The following is a 22,505-nucleotide window of genomic DNA, read 5'->3' as shown; positions in this document are numbered from 1 at the left end:
GTATGCATGGTTTCAGAGGCCACTGGCAGTGGCTTCAGGCATGTTTAGGGGACCCCTTGGCTGCCTTTTGCCTCTCAGAAACAAGAAAACCATTTATTCCCCCAGTTCAACCACAGCATCTCTTCCCTCCCCAATGCCAGAAAATCAGGGTTGAGAGGTGCTGGTGGAGGAGAGATGCACTAGGAGTGGATGGGGTGGGAGTCACTGCCTGCACCATGTGAACTGGAGTGTGCAGGCATGGGGTTTCAGACCTAGAGAGGCACTCCCTTTGCTTTCTTCTCACCCTATGACCCTCTCTTCTCCAAACCTCCTTTAGGAAACCCATCAAAGCTTATTCAAGTTCACTGCCCTGACTCAAGGGAGAAGAAGCAAATGGGAATGGAGAGAGAGTCACGTTGCAACAACCCACACTGTTTTCCTCTCACTCCTCAGGGATCACCTCCCACCCCAGATGGATCCATCCTCTGGAACAAGAACACACACATACACACACACACACACACACACACACACACACACACACACATAAACTACACTGAGAACAACTGAATCCTAAAGGGAATTGGATGACAGTGAGAAAAAATATAAAGAAAGCCAGTTTCATGAAAAACAAAGAAAAGAAAAATAATGTATTGAGTAGCTGGTATGAAGCAGTCTCTATGGTAGGCATTTACACATATATGATTTCATTGAATCCCAATATCAACACTGTTAAGATATTGTTATTCCATGTTAGAAGTGAGGAAGCTGAGGCTTTAAAAAGTTATATCTCGATGTCCGCCTAACCAGAGTGGGTAGATGGAGACAAAATCCAGGATAACAGACTCAAAATCTCATTCTGTTTCTAGGTCCATGTTGGTGTTCAGACCAATTGGTCCAAGCAGCCACAAAGAGACTAGGTAACTACGATGACTTTGCAGGTATTCCTTGCTGGGGTCTAGGACTGACCCAGATCTGGTTCTACTTTAAAATCCTATGGGTCTTAGTGGAACTAACTCCTTGGTGGTGCATAATATTCAGCCACACTCTCTGCATCTCCTCCTTGTCCCTGGGTAGGGTAGCCCCCAACCAAGCCCTTTATGCTGCCCTAAACAACTGACTCAAGAGACTGTTGCTATGTTAGTTGTTGTAAGATATAGGCCAGGTGGCTGGGAGAAACAGTTTCCTAAGGCCTAGAATGGAGTTGCTCTGGTGAACATCAAAAGCAATGTATATGAGTCTTCCTTCTGAAACCCCTATGAAACCAGAGCAGGTCCCTTCAATGTGTATTCAACCACAGAGAAATCACTAAATGGCTCAAACTCAGCCACTGCTTCCTCCTGAAAAGGATACAGGCCAGGAAGCCTGACTGGGCATAGTGCAATGAATAAAATGTAGACCCAAGTTCAAATCCTGATGAATTCAAACCCTTTGTGACCCCAGGAATAAAAGCATTTCACCTCTTTATGTTTAATGTTCTCAAATGGTAATGGGAATGTTAATAATAGCTCCCTCAGGGGGTTATGTAGAGGCTCCAGTGAGACAAGATGTGAAAAATACCCAGGGCACTGGTCCCAGAGTAAAGGCTCATTAATGGAGGTTGTTATCTGGATATTAGAGGATGATTGAGCTCTGCATTTGGAAGCAAAAAAAGTTAGGATTCTCTTTGGAAAGTTGCTTATAGCAGCCCTTTTCTATAGAAAAATATAAGGGTGTTCCAATTATTTCTTTATTTCTTTGCAAAGAAATGGTGAATTGGAATAGCCTACCCCTTACAAACGACATGACCTTGGATGCTTATGTCATTGGCTTAGGCCACTCAGGCTGCTATAACAAATATCCATTGACTGGGTCTAAACAATGAAGATTTATTTCTTACAATTCTGGAGGCTGAGAAGCCCAAGATCAAGGCACAGGCAGATTCCATACCTGGAATCTGCCCCATTTTATAAATGGTGTTTTCTTGCTGCCTCCTCACTTGGCAGAAGGCAAAAGACAGATCTCTGGGACCCCTTTGAAAAGGACACTAATCCCGTTCATGAAGGCAGAGCTCCTGATCTAGTCATCTCCCAAAGTCCCCACCTCTTAATACCATCACTTTAGAGGTCAGGACTTCAACATATGAATTTGAAGAGGGTCATGCAAACATTCAGACCACAGCAGTCACCATTCTAGTCTCAATTTCCTAACTTGTAAAAAGCTCACACAGAAACAAAACCAAACCAAACGTCACAGGACTCTTTATTAACTTCTCTCATCCCCCCACTTCTTCATTGCAATCCAAGCTGCATCATCCCTCACCTCCACTGGTGCTACATCACCAAGCACACTGCTAGCATTCTGTGCCAGCGAGACTTTCTCCATGAAAAAAAGTCATCCATTGATTTGCATTCTGAAGGAAGCTTGCCCACTGGTAACAAACTGCTCACAGAGCAGCATCAGCCCGTGGACTTTACTTTCAGTGGTTTATTATACATTTAAAATGTGTCTATTGTATTTTTTCATGGAGTTAGATTGTACATTTAGTAAAGTATGTCAGGTGCACTAATCTTAAGCATACAACGTGATGAAATTTTACATACATATACACTGGTGTCACCGTCACCTGGAAATAGACATTTTCTAGCACCTCATAAGGTTCCTTTGTGCCCCATCCCAGTGAATACCAGCCCCCCTCAGAGATAACCACGGTCCTGACTCTGTCACCACAGATTAGTTTTACCTGTTCTTGAACTTAGTATAAATGAATTATACACTGTGCACGCTATTGTGTCTGGCTTCTTTTACTCAAGTTTAAGTCTGTGATATTCATCCGTGTTGCTGCATGTACAATAGCTCATTCTTTTTTAGAGTCTCTAAATTTGATTGCCTCACTCCTCTGCTCCCTCTCTGCAGTCTATCTGGTCTCATTTCTTCTCCAGGAATGTGCCACCCATCCTCCAGCTAAACACTTGCATATACTCTACCTTCTTGTTGGAATGTTCTCCCTTTTCCATCTCCCCTCACCCAACTCCATTTTATTCTTTAGACCTCAGATCCAATCCCCCTTCCTTAAGGCAAGCTTTTCCCAACTATCCCACTCTTGTCTGTGTTCAGTTCCATATTATATTCTTTGGTTGTTCCCTCCACTCGTTACTCTCAGCTTTCCCCTCAACACTAGTTTCTCTCTAAGAAGAGGATCCACAGCACAACCTTTGTATTCACCACTATATCCCCAGTGGCTATCATTACAGGGACTCAGATATTTCTTGAATAAATCAATAAGTGAGTAAAGCGTCCAGTTCACTGCCTGGCCCACAAAAGATGCCAGACCTGGCCTTCTCTTCCCCTTTCCACCTCGTGCTATTATGAAGTCCAAATACTCCACACTCTGTTCTCTGCCTCGGTAATCCCAACTCTTTAGATGAGGCCCTAGAAGAAATAAAATCACTACTTTTTTTCAGAATGTTTTCTGAAATATTTTCACCGAAGACATTCTCTGGAGGCTGAAGAAGCTCTGACTCATGCTTCATAATGGACTGTGACATTTCTCTGAGTTTTTTTTTTATGGCTCTCCGGAAAGGATTCCTTTCAGAACCATTAAGAAGATTGTGGACGAGGATATATGCACAGGAAAAAAGGCCCAGGAGAAAGTATAATAAAATGTTACCACTGGCTTCCTCAGGGTGATGGGATAGTGTAAGATATTTTTTTCTGTACTTTACTATAATTTCTAAATTTTCTATATTAAATATGCATTATTTTTAAGGAAAAGATACTCCTATTATGTTTGAAGTGACTCATAAGGACATGTCAAATTGCATTTTATCACTGATACATGCAGACCTAACCCCACAGTCTGGGAAAGTAAGCCCTGGTTGAACAACCCCGTGGGAGGCAAAGGAAGCTCAAATGATTGAGGGTCAGTCTTCTTCCCAGATAATGGAATTCCTGCCAGTCTTGGGACTGATCAGGAAACCTTGGCCCAAATAAGCCACAGAGCATCCCCCTGCTCAGGAAGTGTCCATAGGCAGGGGACTATCTGTGAAAGAAAGTTGCTGAACCTCCAGAGAAAGAGAGAGGTCTCAGAGTCTCTGCAAATATTTGAGAACAATTTTTCTGGCCTCCACTCTCGGGTTCTTTTGTTTTGTTTTTGCCAGACTAAACCCCCTCACTTGAACCAAATGGTTGCAATATGACCTTATTTCTATTACCCTCATCACCTGCATACGGGCAGCTCCAAATGTCAACTATCTCTTTAAATATATGATCCTATGAGTTGAACACAACCAGATCTGATTTGACTGTGGGAGGCTGTATTAGGGTCATCACCTCCTTTGTTTTGAACACTATACACTCATTAATTTTAAGATCTAGCTACTATAGAGAGATTAAGAGCTGAAAGTCTCGACCCAGACTGCCCTCTTCAAATCCCAGCTCTGACACTAGCTGTGTGATATTGACCAAGCCCTTTGACATCTCTGTACCCTGGATTCTTCATCTGTAAAACGCTGACAATAATAGTACCAACCCCAGAGGGTAGCTAGGAGGATTAACAGAGTTCATGCGTGCAAAGCACTTAGAACAGCACCTGGCACAAGGAGAGGGCTACACAATTGTTAACTGTTAATATTAATGTGGCCAAACGGCACTGATTTCACTTAGGCTTTTCTGTTTTGTTTTTGTGAGGAGTGAGGAGCTTAACTGCAAAAACTCCCCATTGACTGATATTCAAATTAAACTTAAAGCCTCTTAGATCCTTAACTCCCTCCATCTAGAAATTGTGCAACTGATTTTTGAACCTAGAGGCAGAAAAACAAATTTGCATTTTTTTCCCAGAGAAATTCCAGCGGGAAAGTAAGAGACAAAGTGAGAGAGGGGCAGAGAAAGAATAGTGACAGAGAGAGGCGACAGAGACATAGACAGAGAAACGTAACAGATTGAAACTGCTAGCCTGCATCAGAAATGAGGGCCTCGGAAAAGCTGTTCATTTCCCAGCTGGGTTTTGTTTTTGTGTGGGTTCTTTTTCCCCCCTTTTTCATTTGTGTTCACACTTCCCCCTCTTGTGGCTCATCAGAAAATCACAGGTGGTCCTTGCTTTTCAATGGATTTCAAAATTGGTGAACACTCAATGCTGGCAGTTCTGGCTGAGAAGATTGGGTCAACCCCTACCTGATCCCAGGAAGGGGAAGAGATAAGATGGGGAGAGGAGGCCAGGTTGTATAGTAATCATCACCTGCTCCTTATCCAAGAGTCATGTGAGCAGAAAAAGCTGTCTCTTCTCTTTCATTGATAAAGGGATGAAGGGCTCCAGAAATGACCCACAGTACTAGCCCTCTCAGGGATATTTTCTAAAAGGCTTTGGTAGGGGATGGATTCATTTAGGATCAGGCCAGTCAGATAGAAAAATAATACAAACAAGTCCAAAGGAGAACTGTATCTGTCATTGCTCATATTCACTCTGCTCCAAGCCAGTTCTATGCCTTTGCTCACACTATAACCTACACCAAAAGTGCCCATTCTTCAAGGATAGGGTAACTGCTACCCTATCCTTTCGTGATTCCTTTTACCAATCTGTCCCCAGACCCTTGCCTCTAGTAGAAATGTTTCTCTTCTCTCACTCCACAGTATCTTATTATGGCTCTAATGTGGCACTGGTGAAGTTTGCTTTCTACGCAATTAACAGCGTCTTTGTCTTATCATCCCACAAGATTAGTGAAGAGGAAAGGGAAGAGGCTGGGTTTCATACATCTCCAAAGACCCAGCCTCCGGCATAAGGGGTGGGGGGGTGGATAAGAGAGGGATGAAGGGGGGAAAAGAAGGAGGAGGAGAAAAAGAACAAGGAGAAGATGGCAAATGTAACAGTTGGTGAATCTATTAATAGTTACAGGGTATGTGAATATCCATCAGAACTTTCTATTTTTCTGTAGTTTTGAAATTTTTCAAAACAAAATGTTGAAAAAAATGAAAAAAAAATCACTTAATATGGCTTGCAAGTTTAAAAATCAGGTAAATGCCAGAGTAAGAAATAAAATCGGGACACAAATCAAAATTAGGCTTCTCAACCTCTAGAGACCACAAATTAGCTTTTAGGAGTTACAAACCTCAGGAAATTTTAAGTACAAGTTTTGTGTCAGTGCATTTTTCTAGGGAGAAAGGTTTTAACTCTTTCATCAGATTTTCAAGGGGTTTGTAACACCGCTATACACCCCCCAAAGTATTAAAATAGTAACCTAAAGAGAACTTGAAACAAAATGCTATTGCCAGACATGAGGATCAATGGCCATAGAATGATGGACTGAATTGATCAAATTTCAGAGACAAAAAAATACCTTGGTGATCATGTAGCCCAGAGCTCTACATCCAGAGGGGGAAACTAGGCCCAAAGAGAGGTCAGGGAGTTTGACTCCAACAAATTTAACATGTTTCACTGGCTCATAAATGACAACCAGGCCCACAATGTTCTCCTTGTGCCATGGGGAATTCTCCCCCCAGAAAAGCCATCCTGAAAAAACGTGATCAGACAATGGTCATCTTGTCAGCCCTCACAGACAAGAACATGCATCTTTGTTCTGAACCAAATGACCACATTCTTACAGCCTGATTGAAAAGAAGCCTTTGTTTAGGGGGGTATGGGTGTCTCGATGGGATCAGGGACACTCTCAGCTATAAGGTAGAAGGAGCAGGCCACTAACTAAGATTGATGGATGGTGCCAGCCCTGGCAGGCCAAACACAATGCAGGGATGGCCAAGTGGGGGAACAAAATTAGTTTGCAAGATTAGAACGTATTAACACAAGTCAGACAACTGTCATGTCACAGTTCTTCACCGTAATGCTGATTGGCAGGCAAGCATTTCTGATTCTGATGGCCACGGAGGCGAGGCATCTGCAATCTGTTTCGCATGACATCCCGCTGCTGGTAAATCCCCGCTGCTGGAGAAGCCAGCTTTTCTTAGAAAACTATGTCCCCTGGGTCTTGTTTGGCAGGTCCCCAGGCCAAAGGTGCTTGGCAAGGTGGGAGAGGGCAGGGAGGATGTGGCAGCTGTCAAGAACTTTAGCTGAAGAGGAAAAGAAGGCTTTCTGAGCTCAACACAACAAGTACCTGAGGATCACTCACAAGCCTGTTACCAGGATGAAGATGACAGGAAGGTGCAAGAAACATCATAATCCCAGCCTCAAGGAATGTTCAACCCCACTGGGGAGCCCAGACCTACACATGTGGCCAAGTTCAATAACGATGCAAAACAGTCCAGAGTCAGCAAGGCCATTCCTTGGCTGAGCACCATAGAGCTGATTCTAATGAATGCCCACTGCTCTACTTACTTTTCTCTTGACCCAACAGGTGGTCAATAGATCATCATGGTAATTTCATTACCAATCAAGCTAGAGAAATTTGGAAGTAGTCATGACCTACTTATACCCAAGTCCTGGGTGGTGCTCTTTCCTCATTGGTTTGTATTCTTTGAAATTTTTAGTGTGAGTCTTCTAACTTGATTTTGTTAAATATTGAATAAATATAACAGAGTATTTGTAAAAATACTTGTATTAGTCCAGGTTATTATACTGCAGTGACAAACAACCCTAAAATGGCCGTGACTTGGCACAATAAACATGGACTTCTCATCTCTGCAAAATCAGCTGCTGGCCTGGACACTTCTCCAGAGTTACCTCCAAGCAATGGCTCAGCAATTCAGACTGCTATGATCCTGTGGCTCCCCCATCTCAACATGAGGCTATGGAAGAGAAGGAGTTATCTGGAGGGTTATTCACTGACTTTTTCATGCTTTGGTCCAGAAGTAACACACACACACACACATACACACACACACACACACACACACACACATCAATCCTGACTACAACTTATTAGCTTGAACAAATTCCACGGCCTCGCCTAACTTCAAGGAGGTAGAAACTGGGAGGAAATAGATGGAATGCCTTTGACATAATATTTAAGCACAGAGCCAACATCCTTGTACTCATCAACGAGTTTAAGAGAGAGAACATTTTTATTACATTTGCTCTGTATTCTCTTATCAGATGCCAGTTCTTTTTCTTATCCTTCAGACATAACTACCTTCCAGAATTTTGTATTTATCACTTCTTCATTTTTCTTTATAATTGCATTACACATTTTTGTATCCTTAAACAACATACTGTTCAGTTTTGCACTTTTCAAATTTCATGTAAATAAAATCACACTGTATGCGTTTTGTGACTTTACTCCTTTTGCTCAGCCTTGTTTTATTAAGATTTATTCATTTTTTCCTGTACAACATCAGTTCATTAATTTTCATGGTTTTATAGATTTCCACTGAAGGAATATAACAAAATATTTATCCAGTATACTGTTGAATTGATGTGTGGGTTGTCCAGGTTTGGACATTATAGGGGGTGCTGATACATACATTCTTATACTTGTCTCCTGATGGATTTGACCAAACATTTCTCTACAGAAAGTTTTCTAAGATGGAATATTCAAGAAGAAGTAAAAATGACGAGCAAGTAAATTATTGAATATGTGAATCTAAACAAATTTTGACCATGTTAAACAAAATAACAATGTCTTATAAGTTAAAAAAAGGATAAATATACCAAAACAATAATATTCTCTGGTAAGGACTGATTGAAGATAAAATATTCTAAGATCCTTGCAATGTTTGGGAGGGTGGTAAATATACAGCTTACCTTTTGACTTTGAGAAATTAACCATGCATAACACATTTCCAAGGTAACCACCAAAAAAAGAGAAGTAAAGATAAAAAATACAAAGAAGGAAAAAATGTCCAATTCAAAAATCGGCAAGAGGTAATAAAGAAAGCATTAAAAGGTGATAGAAAATGAATGGTTACAATAAATGTAAGAAGGTTGGGCCAATTTAATGACAAGTATTGTCAGATTGATTTTAAAAAATCAAACAGACATCTTTGAATAGGAGGTGCCTCCAACAAGTAGTACAGTGTCCCCAGGCATGGCTCTTGGGGACTGAGATGTGACCCAAATGGGACATCTACCCTCAGTCTGTGAATCTGAGGCTCCCAAGATTTTGTTCTGAATACCACACTTATTTCTTGAAATAAATGGGATCTTTCCTTGTTTGTCCCTGGACTGAAATAGTTTCAGTGCTGTTGGACTCATTTTTTCTTTAAATCTTAGCTCCAACCCAGGTCTCAAACCATCTGTTTTTGTTGCAATTTATAAAGTTTTCTCATGAAGGTAGTAAAGAAAAGCCATGCCCAAAATAACTAAAATATGTGTTTAAATGGAAGTTGGAGATAAGCAGATTTGCTGTTGCATTGGCTATGGGTTATTTTTAAAAGGAAGAATTGGGTGCAGGTATTAATACAAGGCTTTTGGTCTGAGTAACTGGAAGGAGGGAATTGCCTCCATCTTAGATGAAGATGACTGTAGGAGTAAAGGACAAAACCCTCCCGGAGATGAAAAAGCATCCAGGCCATTGACTATAAAGGAATTTCATCTCTTGAAAAGCTTTATATGTAAGTCCTTGGTGAAGAATTACAGACAAGAAATTCAGGCTCTAGGGAATTTGAGGATAACCTGGCCCAAGGATGTGCATGGGATAACCCCAGGGGACACCATTTAACTATACCACATTTTGTAACACAGTGGCCCTGGCCTGACCAATCCTATTTGGAAGAGTTGTGTAGAGAGAAGAGTGAATCTGTGCAGGAATTACCTGTAATTAAAAGCTTCCCATATAAACAGAATCAAAGACAAAAACCACATGATTATCTCAATAGATGCAGAAAAGGCCTTCGACAAAATTCAACAACTCTTCATGCTAAAAACTCTCAATAAATTAGGTATTGATGGGACGTATCTCAAAATAATAAGAGCTATGTATGACAAACCCACAGCCAATATCATACTGAATAGGCAAAAACTGGAAGCATTCCCTTTGAAAACTGGCACAAGACAGGGATGCCCTCTCTCACCACTCCTATTCAACATAGTGTTCAAAGTTCTGGCCAGGGCAATTAGGCAGGAGAAGGAAATAAAGGGCATTCAATTAGGAAAAGAGGAAGTCAAATTGTCCCTGTTTGCAGATGACATGATTGTATATCTAGAAAACCCCATTGTCTCAGCACAAAATCTCCTCAAGCTGATAAGCAACTTCAGCAAAGTCTCAGGATACAAAATCAATGTACAAAAATCACAAGCATTCTTACACACCAATAACAGACAGAGAGCCAAATCATGAGTGAACTCTCATTCACAATTGCTTCAAAGAGAATAAAATACCTAGGAATCCAACTTACAAGGGACGTGAAGGACCTCTTCAAGGAGATCTACAAACCACTGCTCAAGGAAATAAAAGAGGATATGAACAAATGGAAGAACATTCCATGCTCATGGGTTGGAAGAATCAATATCGTGAAAATGGCCATACTGCCCAAGGTAATTTATAGATTCAATGCCATCCCCATCAAGCTACCAATGACTTTCTTCACAGAATTGGAAAAAACTACTTTAAAGTTCATATGGAATCAAAAAAGAGCCCACATCGCCAAGTCAATCCTAAGCCAAAAGAACAAATCCGGAGGCATCATGCTACCTGACTTCAAACTATACTACAAGGCTACAGTAACCAAAAGAGCATGGTACTGGTACCAAAACAGAGATACAGATCAATGGAACACAACAGAGCCCTCAGAAATAATGTCGCATATCTACAACTATCTGATCTTTGACAAACCTGAGAAAAACAAGCAATGGGGAAAGGATTCCCTATTTAATAAATGGTGCTGGGAAAACTGGCTAGTCATATGTAGAAAGCTGAAACTGGATCCCTTCCTTACACCTTATACAAAAATTAATTCAAGATGGATTAAAGACTTACATGTTAGACCTAAAACCATAAAAACCCTAGAAGAAAACCTAGGCAATATCATTCGGGACATAGGCATGGGCAAGGACTTCATGTCTAAAACACCAAAAGCAATGGCAACAAAAGCCAAAATTGACAAATGGGATCTAATTAAACTAAAGAGCTTCTGCACAGCAAAAGAAACTACCATCAGAGTGAACAGGCAACCTACAAAATGGGAGAAAATTTTCACAACCTACTCATCTGACAAAGGGCTAATATCCAGAATCTACAATGAACTCAAACAAATTTACAAGAAAAAAACAAACAACCCCATCAAAAAGTGGGCAAAGGATATGAACAGACACTTCTCAAAAGAAGACATTTATGCAGCCAAAAAACACATGAAAAAATGCTCATCATCACTGGCCATCAGAGAAATGCAAATCAAAACCACAATGAGATACCATCTCACACCAGTTAGAATGGCAATCATTAAAAAGTCAGGAAACAACAGGTGCTGGAGAGGATGTGGAGAAATAGGAACACTTTTACACTGTTGGTGGGACGGTAAACTAGTTCAACCATTGTGGAAGTCAGTGTGGCGATTCCTCAGGGATCTAGAACTAAAAATACCATTTGACCCAGCCATCCTATTACTGGGTATATACCCAAAGGATTATAAATCATGCTGCTATAAAGACATATGCACACGTATGTTTATTGCGGCACTATTCACAATAGCAAAGACTTGGAACCAACCCAAATGTCCAACAACGATAGATTGGATTAAGAAAATGTGGCACATATACACCATGGAATATTATGCAGCCATAAAAAATGATGAGTTCATGTCCTTTGTAAGGACATGGATGAAACTGGAAATCATCGTTCTCAGCAAACTATCGCAAGGACAAAAAACCAAACACCGCATGTTCTCACTCATAGGTGGGAATTGAACAATGAGAACACATGGACACAGGAAGGGGAACATCACACTCCAGGCACTGTTGTGGGGTGGGGGTGGGGGGAGGGATAGCATTAGGAGATATACCTAATGCTATATGACCAGTTAATGGGTGCAGTACACCAACATGGCACATGTATACATACGTAACAAACCTGCACATTGTGCACATGTACCCTAAAACTTAAAGGATAATAATAATAATAAAAAGGCTTCCTTTGTGAAAAGTGAACTGCCCTGTAGTAGAACTTGCCATGGTATCAAGTCTGATACTGGCTTAGAACCCAACCTAATCAATAATGTAAAAAAGTTGCTTCTTTATTCCTGTAAAACCATAAATATTAGATTTATGGGAAAAATATTGACTCCCATGGAGCTGAGCAATAAAGACTTGAACAGAGATAGACAAGATCATGTAGGATGCTATTCAAAAGATGATCTCACTTACCTAGTTCAGATCATCTTCTTTACACATGTTCCTCCTCACCACTGCCATTGAAGAAATTTCCATGTAAGTCTGTGAAGAAAAAGAAACAAACAAAAAAAAAACCATCAGGAATTCCAGTCAGCCATGGATGGATAAAAAAAAGTACCACATCACTGCCAAGGAAGGAAAACTGTCCTCTGGAAAATGGCGAAGTTGAAAGCATTACACCATAAGTGCCTAAAGATGGTTGGGAGACGTTGGTCATTTAATTTCAGATTAGGAAAAAGAGGCAATAGTATCTCAAAAAGAGTCTTGGAACATGTAGAAGAAGCCATGAAGTCTCATAACCATGACTAATTGAATATTTAATAGGCTACTTTAATATATAATAGGCAAAGATTTAATCAAAGTACCCATTCCAAAAGGATAACAGTATCTAAATGTTTGAGCACCTGGAAGGGGAAAAGTATTACTATATTAATAAAATAATAACTATTTAATGAAATAGATATACCTTTGAAAACAAAATTGTTGACATACTGAGTAGGGTAACATTGTTTGACAAGCAGTGACTGCAAGTTAATTGGATATTTTATCATAAGGAATTCAGATTCAAATAAACGCAAAAATGTAAAAATTGCAGAATACCTTGTATTTCTCTGTATCAATAACAGATGTTACATTTTCTATACCAATTTGAAGTTAATAATGTAGGTATTTAGAGTAATTCTTACTTTCAAACAGCATTTTTTCAAGAAACTAAAGCTACAAGAAAAACTGCTATAGTATCCATATAGTCTTATGAAACTTCAGCCTTTATGACCACTGCTAAGGATTAGGTTGAGGTTACAGTACTGTTCTAAAAATGCTGTGACTGAGGAACTGAAACATACATAGACAGACTCTGAATAATCAGATAATTTGGCCAATCCTGATGTGAACAACAAGTAGCATGGGGCTTAAAGTACTTAATTTCTTGATGCCATAGCAAATTCTTTCTCAGCAGCATTGTTTCTTCCAGACAAGTGAAGGCAAACACTTTTTATAGGTCAAGGAATTGCTGATATCTCAATTCATTTGTTTTAAAATATTATTTGTCATTTTAGAGACTATAACTTCTGCCATCTTGATTTTCAGATTCTTGAATCTAATTGTTTCCAGCATGAAAACAGTTAATGATCCTTCACTGATCGAGAATCATATCTATTTAAATGGAACAGTCTGAGTCTATTTCATAGTCATCACCTAAAACATGTCAATTAGATTTTTATTATGTGTTGAAAGACAATCTGAAAGCAAGAAAGGATTTTCTGACTAAAGTAGTTTCTTTATAGTCAGTGAATATCTGAGTTTTGTAATTAATAGAAGGGCAACTTCTGCTTTGGGCCAAGATGTAGTAACAGGGACTAGACTTGATTCTCACCTGAAGCAATTGAAATCTTGGAAAAATATACAAATCAATTGTTTTCAGACACTGGACATCATCAGTGTGGGACAGTAAATTCTCTCAGAAAGAGAAAACAAATTAAGTGAGACCTCTGATTGTACCATCTGACAACCTAATGAGTGTTTCCAGGCTACAGTGCAAGGAGGTGGAATGCAGGCAGAGGTTGGTAGTCTTCCTGAATTGAGAAGATGGTATTAGGAGTCCAAGAAGCCAAGGCAGCTAGAGTTGATAGGGCAGATTATCAGTGATGAGAGAGCTGCACAGAGAGAGAGCTCTGAAGATTATCAAACTGTTTTCAAATAACTTAACTACATCCCACACAAAGTTCAAAAATATTTATATGAAGATAAAATATCTAGTACCCCTAAAGCAAATTCACAATGTCTTGCATCCAATCAATAATTAGCCTTGCAAAGAAGCATGAAACTAGAACCCATAATAAGAAAACTCCATCAATAGAAACAGATCTGAAAATGGCATAGAAGATTGAATTAGCATAGAACAATATTAAAATAGTTACTACAAATATACACTATATCTTCAAGAAGGTAGAGTATGTTAAGAAGGTAGAAGAAAGAGCATGTGAAGACATGATAGGTATATTTTTAAAAGACCCAAATTGAACATCTAGAGATATAGCCCACAAAGTCTGAGATGAGAGTATATTAGATAGCACTAACAGCAGACTAGATAGTCCAGTAGAAAGTTTTAGTGAACCTGAAGACATAGCAATATAAATTATTCAAAATAAAATAAAATTTTAACAAAAACTGGGGGGAAATGAATAGAGTATGAGTGAGCTGTGGGAAATTTTCATTCAGCCCAATAGGCATGTAATTGGAGTCCTTGAGTGAGAGAAGAATGAGTGAATCAGAAATACATAGAGCATATTATAACCTAATTGCTTAAGACAGATCATGAAGAGAAATATTTTGAAACCACAAGTGATCAAAGACACATTATATAGAGGAGCAAAGATAAGAATGACAGCAGACTTCTCATCAGAAACAATACAAGCCAGAAGGCAGTGGAGCAAAACTGGCGCTAGAGGAATGGTGGACAAAAAAACTGTTAACCAAGAATTTTACATCCTGCAAGAAATAGTTTTTCAGACTCACAGAAGCTGAAAGAATTCAACACTGGTAGATGTATATGCTACAAGAAATTTTAAAAGGTCTTCAATCAGAAGAAAAATGATACTAAATAGAAATCCGAATTTACACAAAGGAATAAAACATGCAATAATAGCTTCTATTTTCTGCTTCACTGATTAATAGAGACTGATGTAGCATATAGCCCATCATCTCTGAGTGTCTTCCTATCTTCCACTCTTCAACCCAACCATGAAATCTTTCTTTTCTAAACTTACCTGGGAAACTTGCATGAAGTGGTTGGGAAAGTGGATTGGATGTTAAAATTGGAACTTCTGAAATATATGAAGAAAAATATACCTTTCTTCAGAGACCTTTTCCACTTTATGATGAAAGCAGTGTTCAAACTTTCCACTTTGTATGTGTGCTGGAGCATTTCATTGCTCACCAATCTTGGGTACAACTACAATCTTGGGTACAACTACAACTTCTACCAAAAAGATGTGCATAATAAGATAGCTTCTAATTTGGACACAGGATTTTATATAGTCTGCTATAGTAGCCAAGGTATATAGGAAAAATATTTGCCTTTCTTACAGCACCTCATTCTACCCACTTAAGAAATGTTTTTCTTGTCTTTACTAGTCTATTCTCTGTAAAATTTAGTAATTCATTCTTCACAGATGATGGACATAACCAAGAAGTCTCTATTTAGTAATAAGTGACCTTAAAGTTGCTAATAGATCCCTATGAAGGCCAATGCAGTTCCTAAGACATCTGGAAATGTTTTTATTCTGGTGCATGTCCTTGCAATTCAAATCCTGAATAACGTGCAAAGTGTTACTTTTTTTTTTTTGAGATCACATCATATTGATCTTGATCTTATTCTAGAAAGGTCTTTATTTTAACCTATTTTATTCTCTTCTCCAAAAATACAAATATTCCCTAAAAATAAAACTAACTCTTGGTTAGATTACTTCTTCTCCACATCTAAGAAGCATTTTGAGATTTCAATCCTATATTCTGCTTCATCATCCCCTATTCCTGGAAATCATGTCAAATCTTGAGCAAATATGCATGTGGTCTCAGGCTCAATGGACTTTGTCACTATGAGTATCTGCAGAAACTCCTAGCCTGAGAGAACCACAAGACTCTTGGAAAATTTCACTGAGGCAAAGGATTTCATGTACTTTTAAGTTTTAGGAAAATTTTACTATGATGACTGAAAAAAATGCTAAAATAGAAGGATACAGAAAGATTAAAAGTAAAAAAAAAAAAAAAAGCAAGAACAATTTAAAAACATATACCTGAAAATACCTACCATACCGAAAAATAAAGTTTTTTAATGAAATATAAAATTAACATATAATAGAGAGAATGTACAAAACCAAGAATTAGTACTTTAAATAAACTAGTAAAATTTACAAGCTTCTGGCAAGCTTGATCAATATAAACAATAAAAGCCCAAAAATACCAGAAATGAGTAATAGTACATAATTCAGACTCAGTAGAATTTAAAAGGTAATAAAGGGATATTTTGAAAGTTTTATGCTAATAAGTAATTGAAACACGAATTAAAATACAATTTACCCAAGCTGACTCTAGAAAAAAAAAAGGTGAATTGTGCAATAATCCCTAAATAAATTGAATTGGTACTTCTAAAAATCTTCCCATAAAGAACACTAGATGATCTTATTGAGAAATTTTACTGATTATTCAAAATATTTCTATCTTACAAATTATTCCAGAAACTTATATAACTTTTATTAAGAAGATAGCATGACTTTATTCCAAATCATAACATATATAAAATAAGAAATTTGATTGATGACCAGCAGACACTGCAGATGTCTTCTGCCTGAAGTACATTCTTCGCAATAAGTCTATTTGCATTCAAGGAACAAATATAAAGACCTTAGAATACATTTATTCCACTCAATTAAACATTATTGTCACATATTTTAATTTAAACTTATTTTTCTTAATCTACAAAGCATTTACTACTGATCTATACAATGCACAACACTTTTACCTTTCATTCCTTGTTGCATTTCAGACCTTTTTTCTTGGGTCACATTTTTTCTGCTTAAAACACATTCTTCAGCATTTTCTTTAGTGAGAGTTGTTTTGTGACAAATTCTCTTAGTTACTGCTAATGTAAAAGTGTCATTCTCCCTTTATTCTTGAAAAATATTTCCAAATAGTTACTTTCTGTTAGTTTGTGGTCAGCAGAATAATGCTGCCACCCCAAAGTTGTCCACACCCTCATGCCTGGAACCTATCAATAGGTTACATTACACGGCAAAAGAAAACTTGCAGATGTAATTAAGGCTACTAGTAGATGTAATTAAGCCTACTGACCTTTGAAAAAGAGTACCTTGGAGTATCCAGGTGGGTCCAATCTAACTAAAGGGGCCTTTCAAAGCAGAGAACTTCCTGTGCCTTCAGTCAGACATACGCAGCAGTAGCCGCAGCAGAATAGAGATACAGCAAAAGGGAAGATCAAAAGATTCCAAGCATGAGAAGAATTTGAGGTTCTATTGCTGGCTCTAGATAGAGGACCAGAGAGAGGCCTCCAGGATCTGATGGCTATCCCCCGCTGACAGCCAGCAAAGAAACAGGAACTTCAGTCTTACAGCTGCAAGGAATAATTAAGGCTACTGGTAGATGTAATTAAGGCTACTGACCTTTGAAAAAGAGTACCTTGGAGTATCCAGGTGGGTCCAATCTAACTAAAGGGGCCTTTCAAAGCAGAGAACTTCCTGTGCCTTCAGTCAGAGATACGCAGCAGCCGCCGCAGCAGAATAGAGATACAGCAAAAGGGAAGATCAAGATTCCAAGCATGAGAAGAATTTGAGGTTCTATTGCTGGCTCTAGATAGAGGACCAGAGAGAGGCCTCCAGGATCTGATGGCTATCCCCCGCTGACAGCCAGCAAAGAAACAGGAACTTCAGTCTTACTGCTGCAAGGAATAATTAAGGCTACTGGTAGATGTAATTAAGGCTACTGACCTTTGAAAAAGAGTACCTTGGAGTATCCAGGTGGGTCCAATCTAACTAAAGGGGCCTTTCAAAGCAGAGAACTTTCTGTGCCTTCAGTCAGAGATACGCAGCAGTAGCCGCAGCAGAATAGAGATACAGCAAAAGGGAAGATCAAAAGATTCCAAGCATGAGAAGAATTTGAGGTTCTATTGCTGGCTCTAGATAGAGGACCAGAGAGAGGCCTCCAGGATCTGATGGCTATCCCCCACTGACAGCCAGCAAAGAAACAGGAACTTCAGTCTTACAGCTGCAAGGAACTGGATTATGCCAACAACCATATGAGCTTGAAAGTGAATTCTTCCCAAAGCCTTCCGATAAGAGCCCAGCTGGCTGACAGCTTGATTTCAGCTTTGTGAAACTCAGAGCAGACAAACCAGTTGAGCCCACCTGGACTTCCTACCTACAGAACTGTAAGATACTACATTTGTGTGTTTTTAAGCTGAAAATTTTGTGATAACTTATTATAACAACAATAGAAAATGAATGTACGATACATTGACAGTATTTCACTTACAGCTTTCATTTTTGCTGTTAAGAAACTGGCTGTTGTTCCAACTATCATTTCTTTTAAAGTAATCTGGTTTTTTTCCTCTGTCTACCTTTAAGATCTTGTCATTGTCTTTGATGTTTTGCAGTCTCATTTTTATATCTACACATATGGATTTCTTTTTATTTATCCTACTGAGAAATCATCAAATCATCACAGTTTCTGAATGGGATAATGATGATGATGTCATTCACCAAAGTTGGAAGTTTTTGAGCCCTTACATCTTCAGATATGATCTCTGCCTGATTCTCTCCTCCTCTTCTGGAACTCCAGTTTCATACATATTAAACCTGTTAACGCTGTGTTCAATTTTTCTTAATCTTTCTTCTATATTGCCCACAAGTACTCTCAAATGTACACCTTTTCAGATATATCTTCCAGTTCATCAGTTCACTGTTTAGCTGCTTCTAATCTGCTTTTAAAAACATCTATTGGATTCTCATTTCAATTATTTTATTTTTTATTAACTTTAGAAGTTTCGTTGTTTCTATTTTAAATCTATCTGGTCATTTTTAATAGTTTTGCCCTTTGCAAATATTGTGAATTCACTTTGTATTTCTCTAAAAATTAAATATTCTTATTCATATTCTGTATCTGATGAGTCAGATACCTATATTCAGTGTAGGTCTAGCTCTTCTGATTTTTTTCCTCTGTTTCTCAGAGTGCTGTATTTCTCTTTGTTTCTCACTGGTATTTTGGACTGAGTTCCTATGTCTTTGAGCTTTGTCTGTGGAAATGCTTTGAGGCCTTGAAATTGTTTCTTCCATAGAGAACTGTGCTTTCAACTAATTAAAGAACCACTTTAATCAAAATTCTTGGGCTGGAGATACTGTTTGTGTGTGTGTGTGTGTGTGTGTGTGTGTGTGTTTATCACCCAGATAATGTAAATTAAGTCTGAAAACTCATGTGAGGGCCATCTTATGGCACAAATTCCCCTCTCTCTATTGGTGCCAAGAATCAAGACCTGCAGTTTTCCTTTCAGCCTTCTGGGTCAGATGACTGGGTTTATTTCTAACTTACCCTTATACTGAGGACAAAATCCTTTAGAGCTCCAACTTTTTGCTGGGGGCTTCTCTTCGGACTCAGTATGTCCAGCAGTCTCTGGACTTCGTTTTCATCCAAAAGTATTATGCAAGGCTGTTTTCCACCTGATTTATCAAATGCCTTTATGGTAAAAACTTGCCTCATGGATTTTCAGTTTTGCTTGGTTCATGGTTTTTTATTCTCTTGCCAGCTCATTAAAGTCTTTAATAAGATGTTGTATATAACTTATTCACTGTTTTCCATTGTTTTCAATGTGTGTCAGTCAGGGTACCTCATCTCTGTCTTATTATTGGAAAATGGAAGCTCCAGGCACCTTGCCCTTCTGCAAGATAAATTGTCCAAGGGGAGGCCAAGCTGCCACCTGCCTATTTTACTCTCTCTGGGATACCTTTTGAGGAACTAGGACCCAGAAAGGTGGGAGCCCTGTCTTGCACTCCAGTATTTTGATAGGCTTACTTGTCTGCTTCAGCCTGCTAGCTCTACTTGTCCCCTCCCTGAGGTCCAGTTCCACTGTTCCCACTAGGCCAGATATCCTGCCATGCCTGCTCTGCAGTTCTGATCTTCCTCACCTCCATTACGTGAACCTAAATCAGTCCAGCCTGATTCTCACACCTGCACAAAAGTATACAAGTGGATTAGATCCTAAGTCCCTGAGTGCACTTGATTTTTAATTGCTAATTTCTTTTCTGAGAGCTCTACCCCATTTTCCCGCTAATTTTCCCATCTTTCTCAATATTCTTCAAAGTTCTGTATCTTAACTTGTGCTAGAACCAAGTGCTGAAAACAATAAGTTCTAGCATGCAGCATGTAGTAAGAAAGGAAGAAGCTCAAACTTTGGACTCCAAAATACCAAAGTTTACATTTCAGATCTTCCACTTAGTAGTTACCACCTAACTTCCCTAAGCCTCTATTTCCTCATTTGTAAATATAACTTTGTCAGATTGTACCAGAGATAATAAAGTGTCTAATTCAAAATAGGTGCTTAATTTAAAATGCCTGAAGCAGTAAAACAAAGATTATGGAGTTTATGTGGTCAATATTGTGTTACTTTATACTTTAAAGATTAGAATTTAAGCAATTACAGAAAGAATGAGAAGTCCTTGCTGTTACATATCAGCTCTGATATAAGAAAGTGTTATAAACTAGCAAAGGCCAAAATATAACAGCAGCTAGTATGGGGTATAGAAAGAACTGAAAACCAGCACACAAAAACTAAAGCTAAAACTCAGAATATGGCAGAAAAAAACCTGGATCAGAACCAGGCATACACATGAAGACACTTAAAGGACAAGGAAGTTGAGGAACTTGTCCAGGATCAAGCAAGCAACAGAGCAGTGTGGCTCCACAAGCCAAGTTCTCAGTCTCTTGGATATGCTGCTTCTACAATGTGAGCAAACTTCTCTGCTCAGAATTTTCACTAACAAAGTCATGCAAGAACACACTATCAATTATCAGAGTTGATGCATGAAAGGAAACCTAATTTCCACCTTTGGCCCAGAGATTCCTGGCTTAGGGCCTAACCTTTGTGAGCCACTGGTGGATGCCACAGGCACCCAATATCTTTAGACTCTATATTAATTTGTAGCTCCTATATATAATTATATTTAAGCTAACTAATAGTAAACCATAAGAGGTGCTCCCAGAGCAGCTTGCCCTTACCTCATTCACAAAACCTTTCTCATCCCATCATCATGTGTTTATGCATCTGGCTCCAGGACTAGATGTGCATGTCTCAAAGGCAGGGAAAGTTTCCTATTCTTCCATTTATTTGTCCCCCAGGTCTATTATAATCTCTATTACCTCAATATAACACAATAACTATTTTAAATATAGGAATAACAAAACAATAATAAGTTGCATCTTGTTTTGTACCTTCAAGGTACTAGGCTCTGTGTTAGACACATCCCATATATTATTTCTAATTCTTACAACAACCATGTGAGCTTGATGTTATTCTCATTTCATAGATAAAGTACAGAGATATTAAATAATAGCCTCAGGTTAAATAGTAAGTGGCTGACTGAGATTTACATCCAGATCTAGATGACCCCCATACCTGTATTCTGTCTTATGACATCAAAAAAAGACACTAAATAAACATTTACAAAATGAATAAATTAGATCATTACATTTCATCGTAAGAGTGCTTCTCAACTGCATTCTACTGTTGTCTTTTCAGGTACCCAGTCAATAGCACAATAAATGGGTGGACCCAGATGACATTTACAGCCACTATCCTGTGTCCAGGGAAAGCAGGACTGGTTGGAAACTTGCCTTCAACATCTTTAAAAAAAACAAAAAAAACAAAAAACAGAGTGAGCAGGGCTCAGGGTTTTGTGGATGTGGGTCGGCCTCCCTCAGGCAGGCTGGGTTGGGTAAGATCCTCTCCACTGCTCCATGGCTGTTGGATCCATGCCTACCTTGGATATAAAACCAAAGTTCTATCAATTTGGCCTTCACTTTTTTTTCCCACTGATCATACTGCCATTTTCACCTTCAGATTCTCTCTCACATCAGAGTACAGAGAGGTGGTTCAAGTCTAAACACTGGGATTATGTGTACTTTCAATTGTTTAGGGACGCAAAGAAAATCTAAGTAAAATCTGGTAATTTTTCTTTTAACCCAGCAATTATAATCAGATGTAGACAATATTATGTAAGGGAAAGCAAACATAGGCTTTGAAGTCAGACCAAACTGAATTCCTATCCTGAATCTGCTGCTTAATAGTCATGAAATTTGGAGAAAAACATCTAATCTCTTTGAGAAAAAGTTTTGCATCTGTAGGATGGGCATAACAATATCTTGGAATGAAATTCAAAGATGCATGTAAACTGTCTCGCACGTCAGTAAATGTTTATCTCCTTCCCTCATCCTGTTTCTTCAACAGAAAGAATATGAGAACTAACTCTCATCTAAAAGTGGACAAAAATAATGAAAGTTGCTTAAAAATCCAATTTCAACTCAAGTCATACAACTCTTTCTTATATCAGGAGAGTATGGAGTAAAAGAGAAACATTTTATTATTTTGTCATAATAGTTCCTTTTTGGGAGAAAATATTTAACTCTATTATTATCTATAGAATAGCTTTCAACATGCATACCACAATAGAATTCTTTTAATTTTTTTCAGATAGTTCCACTCTTGGAAAAATTT

At 38.5% G+C, this 22,505-nt stretch overlaps 1 protein-coding gene across 1 annotated transcript in view; it reads right to left on the bottom strand.

The window, feature by feature from the left end:
- Positions 1 to 12,153: 12,153 nt before the first annotated feature.
- Positions 12,154 to 22,505, bottom strand: part of INSC (INSC spindle orientation adaptor protein) — a 158,261-nt gene continuing 147,909 nt past the window's right edge. Inside the window, exon 13 of the mRNA XM_017017698.2 lies at positions 12,154 to 12,271. Coding sequence (XP_016873187.1) covers positions 12,203 to 12,271 — 69 coding nt within the window. The 3' untranslated portion in view covers positions 12,154 to 12,202. The remainder of the gene's footprint in view (positions 12,272 to 22,505) is intronic.

The sequence above is a fragment of the Homo sapiens genome, chromosome 11, assembly GCF_000001405.40.
Source record: "Homo sapiens chromosome 11, GRCh38.p14 Primary Assembly".
Classification (NCBI taxonomy): domain Eukaryota; kingdom Metazoa; phylum Chordata; class Mammalia; order Primates; family Hominidae; genus Homo; species Homo sapiens.
Note: the sequence above shows the minus strand (reverse complement) of the source record. Positions and strands in the feature narration are given on the sequence as shown.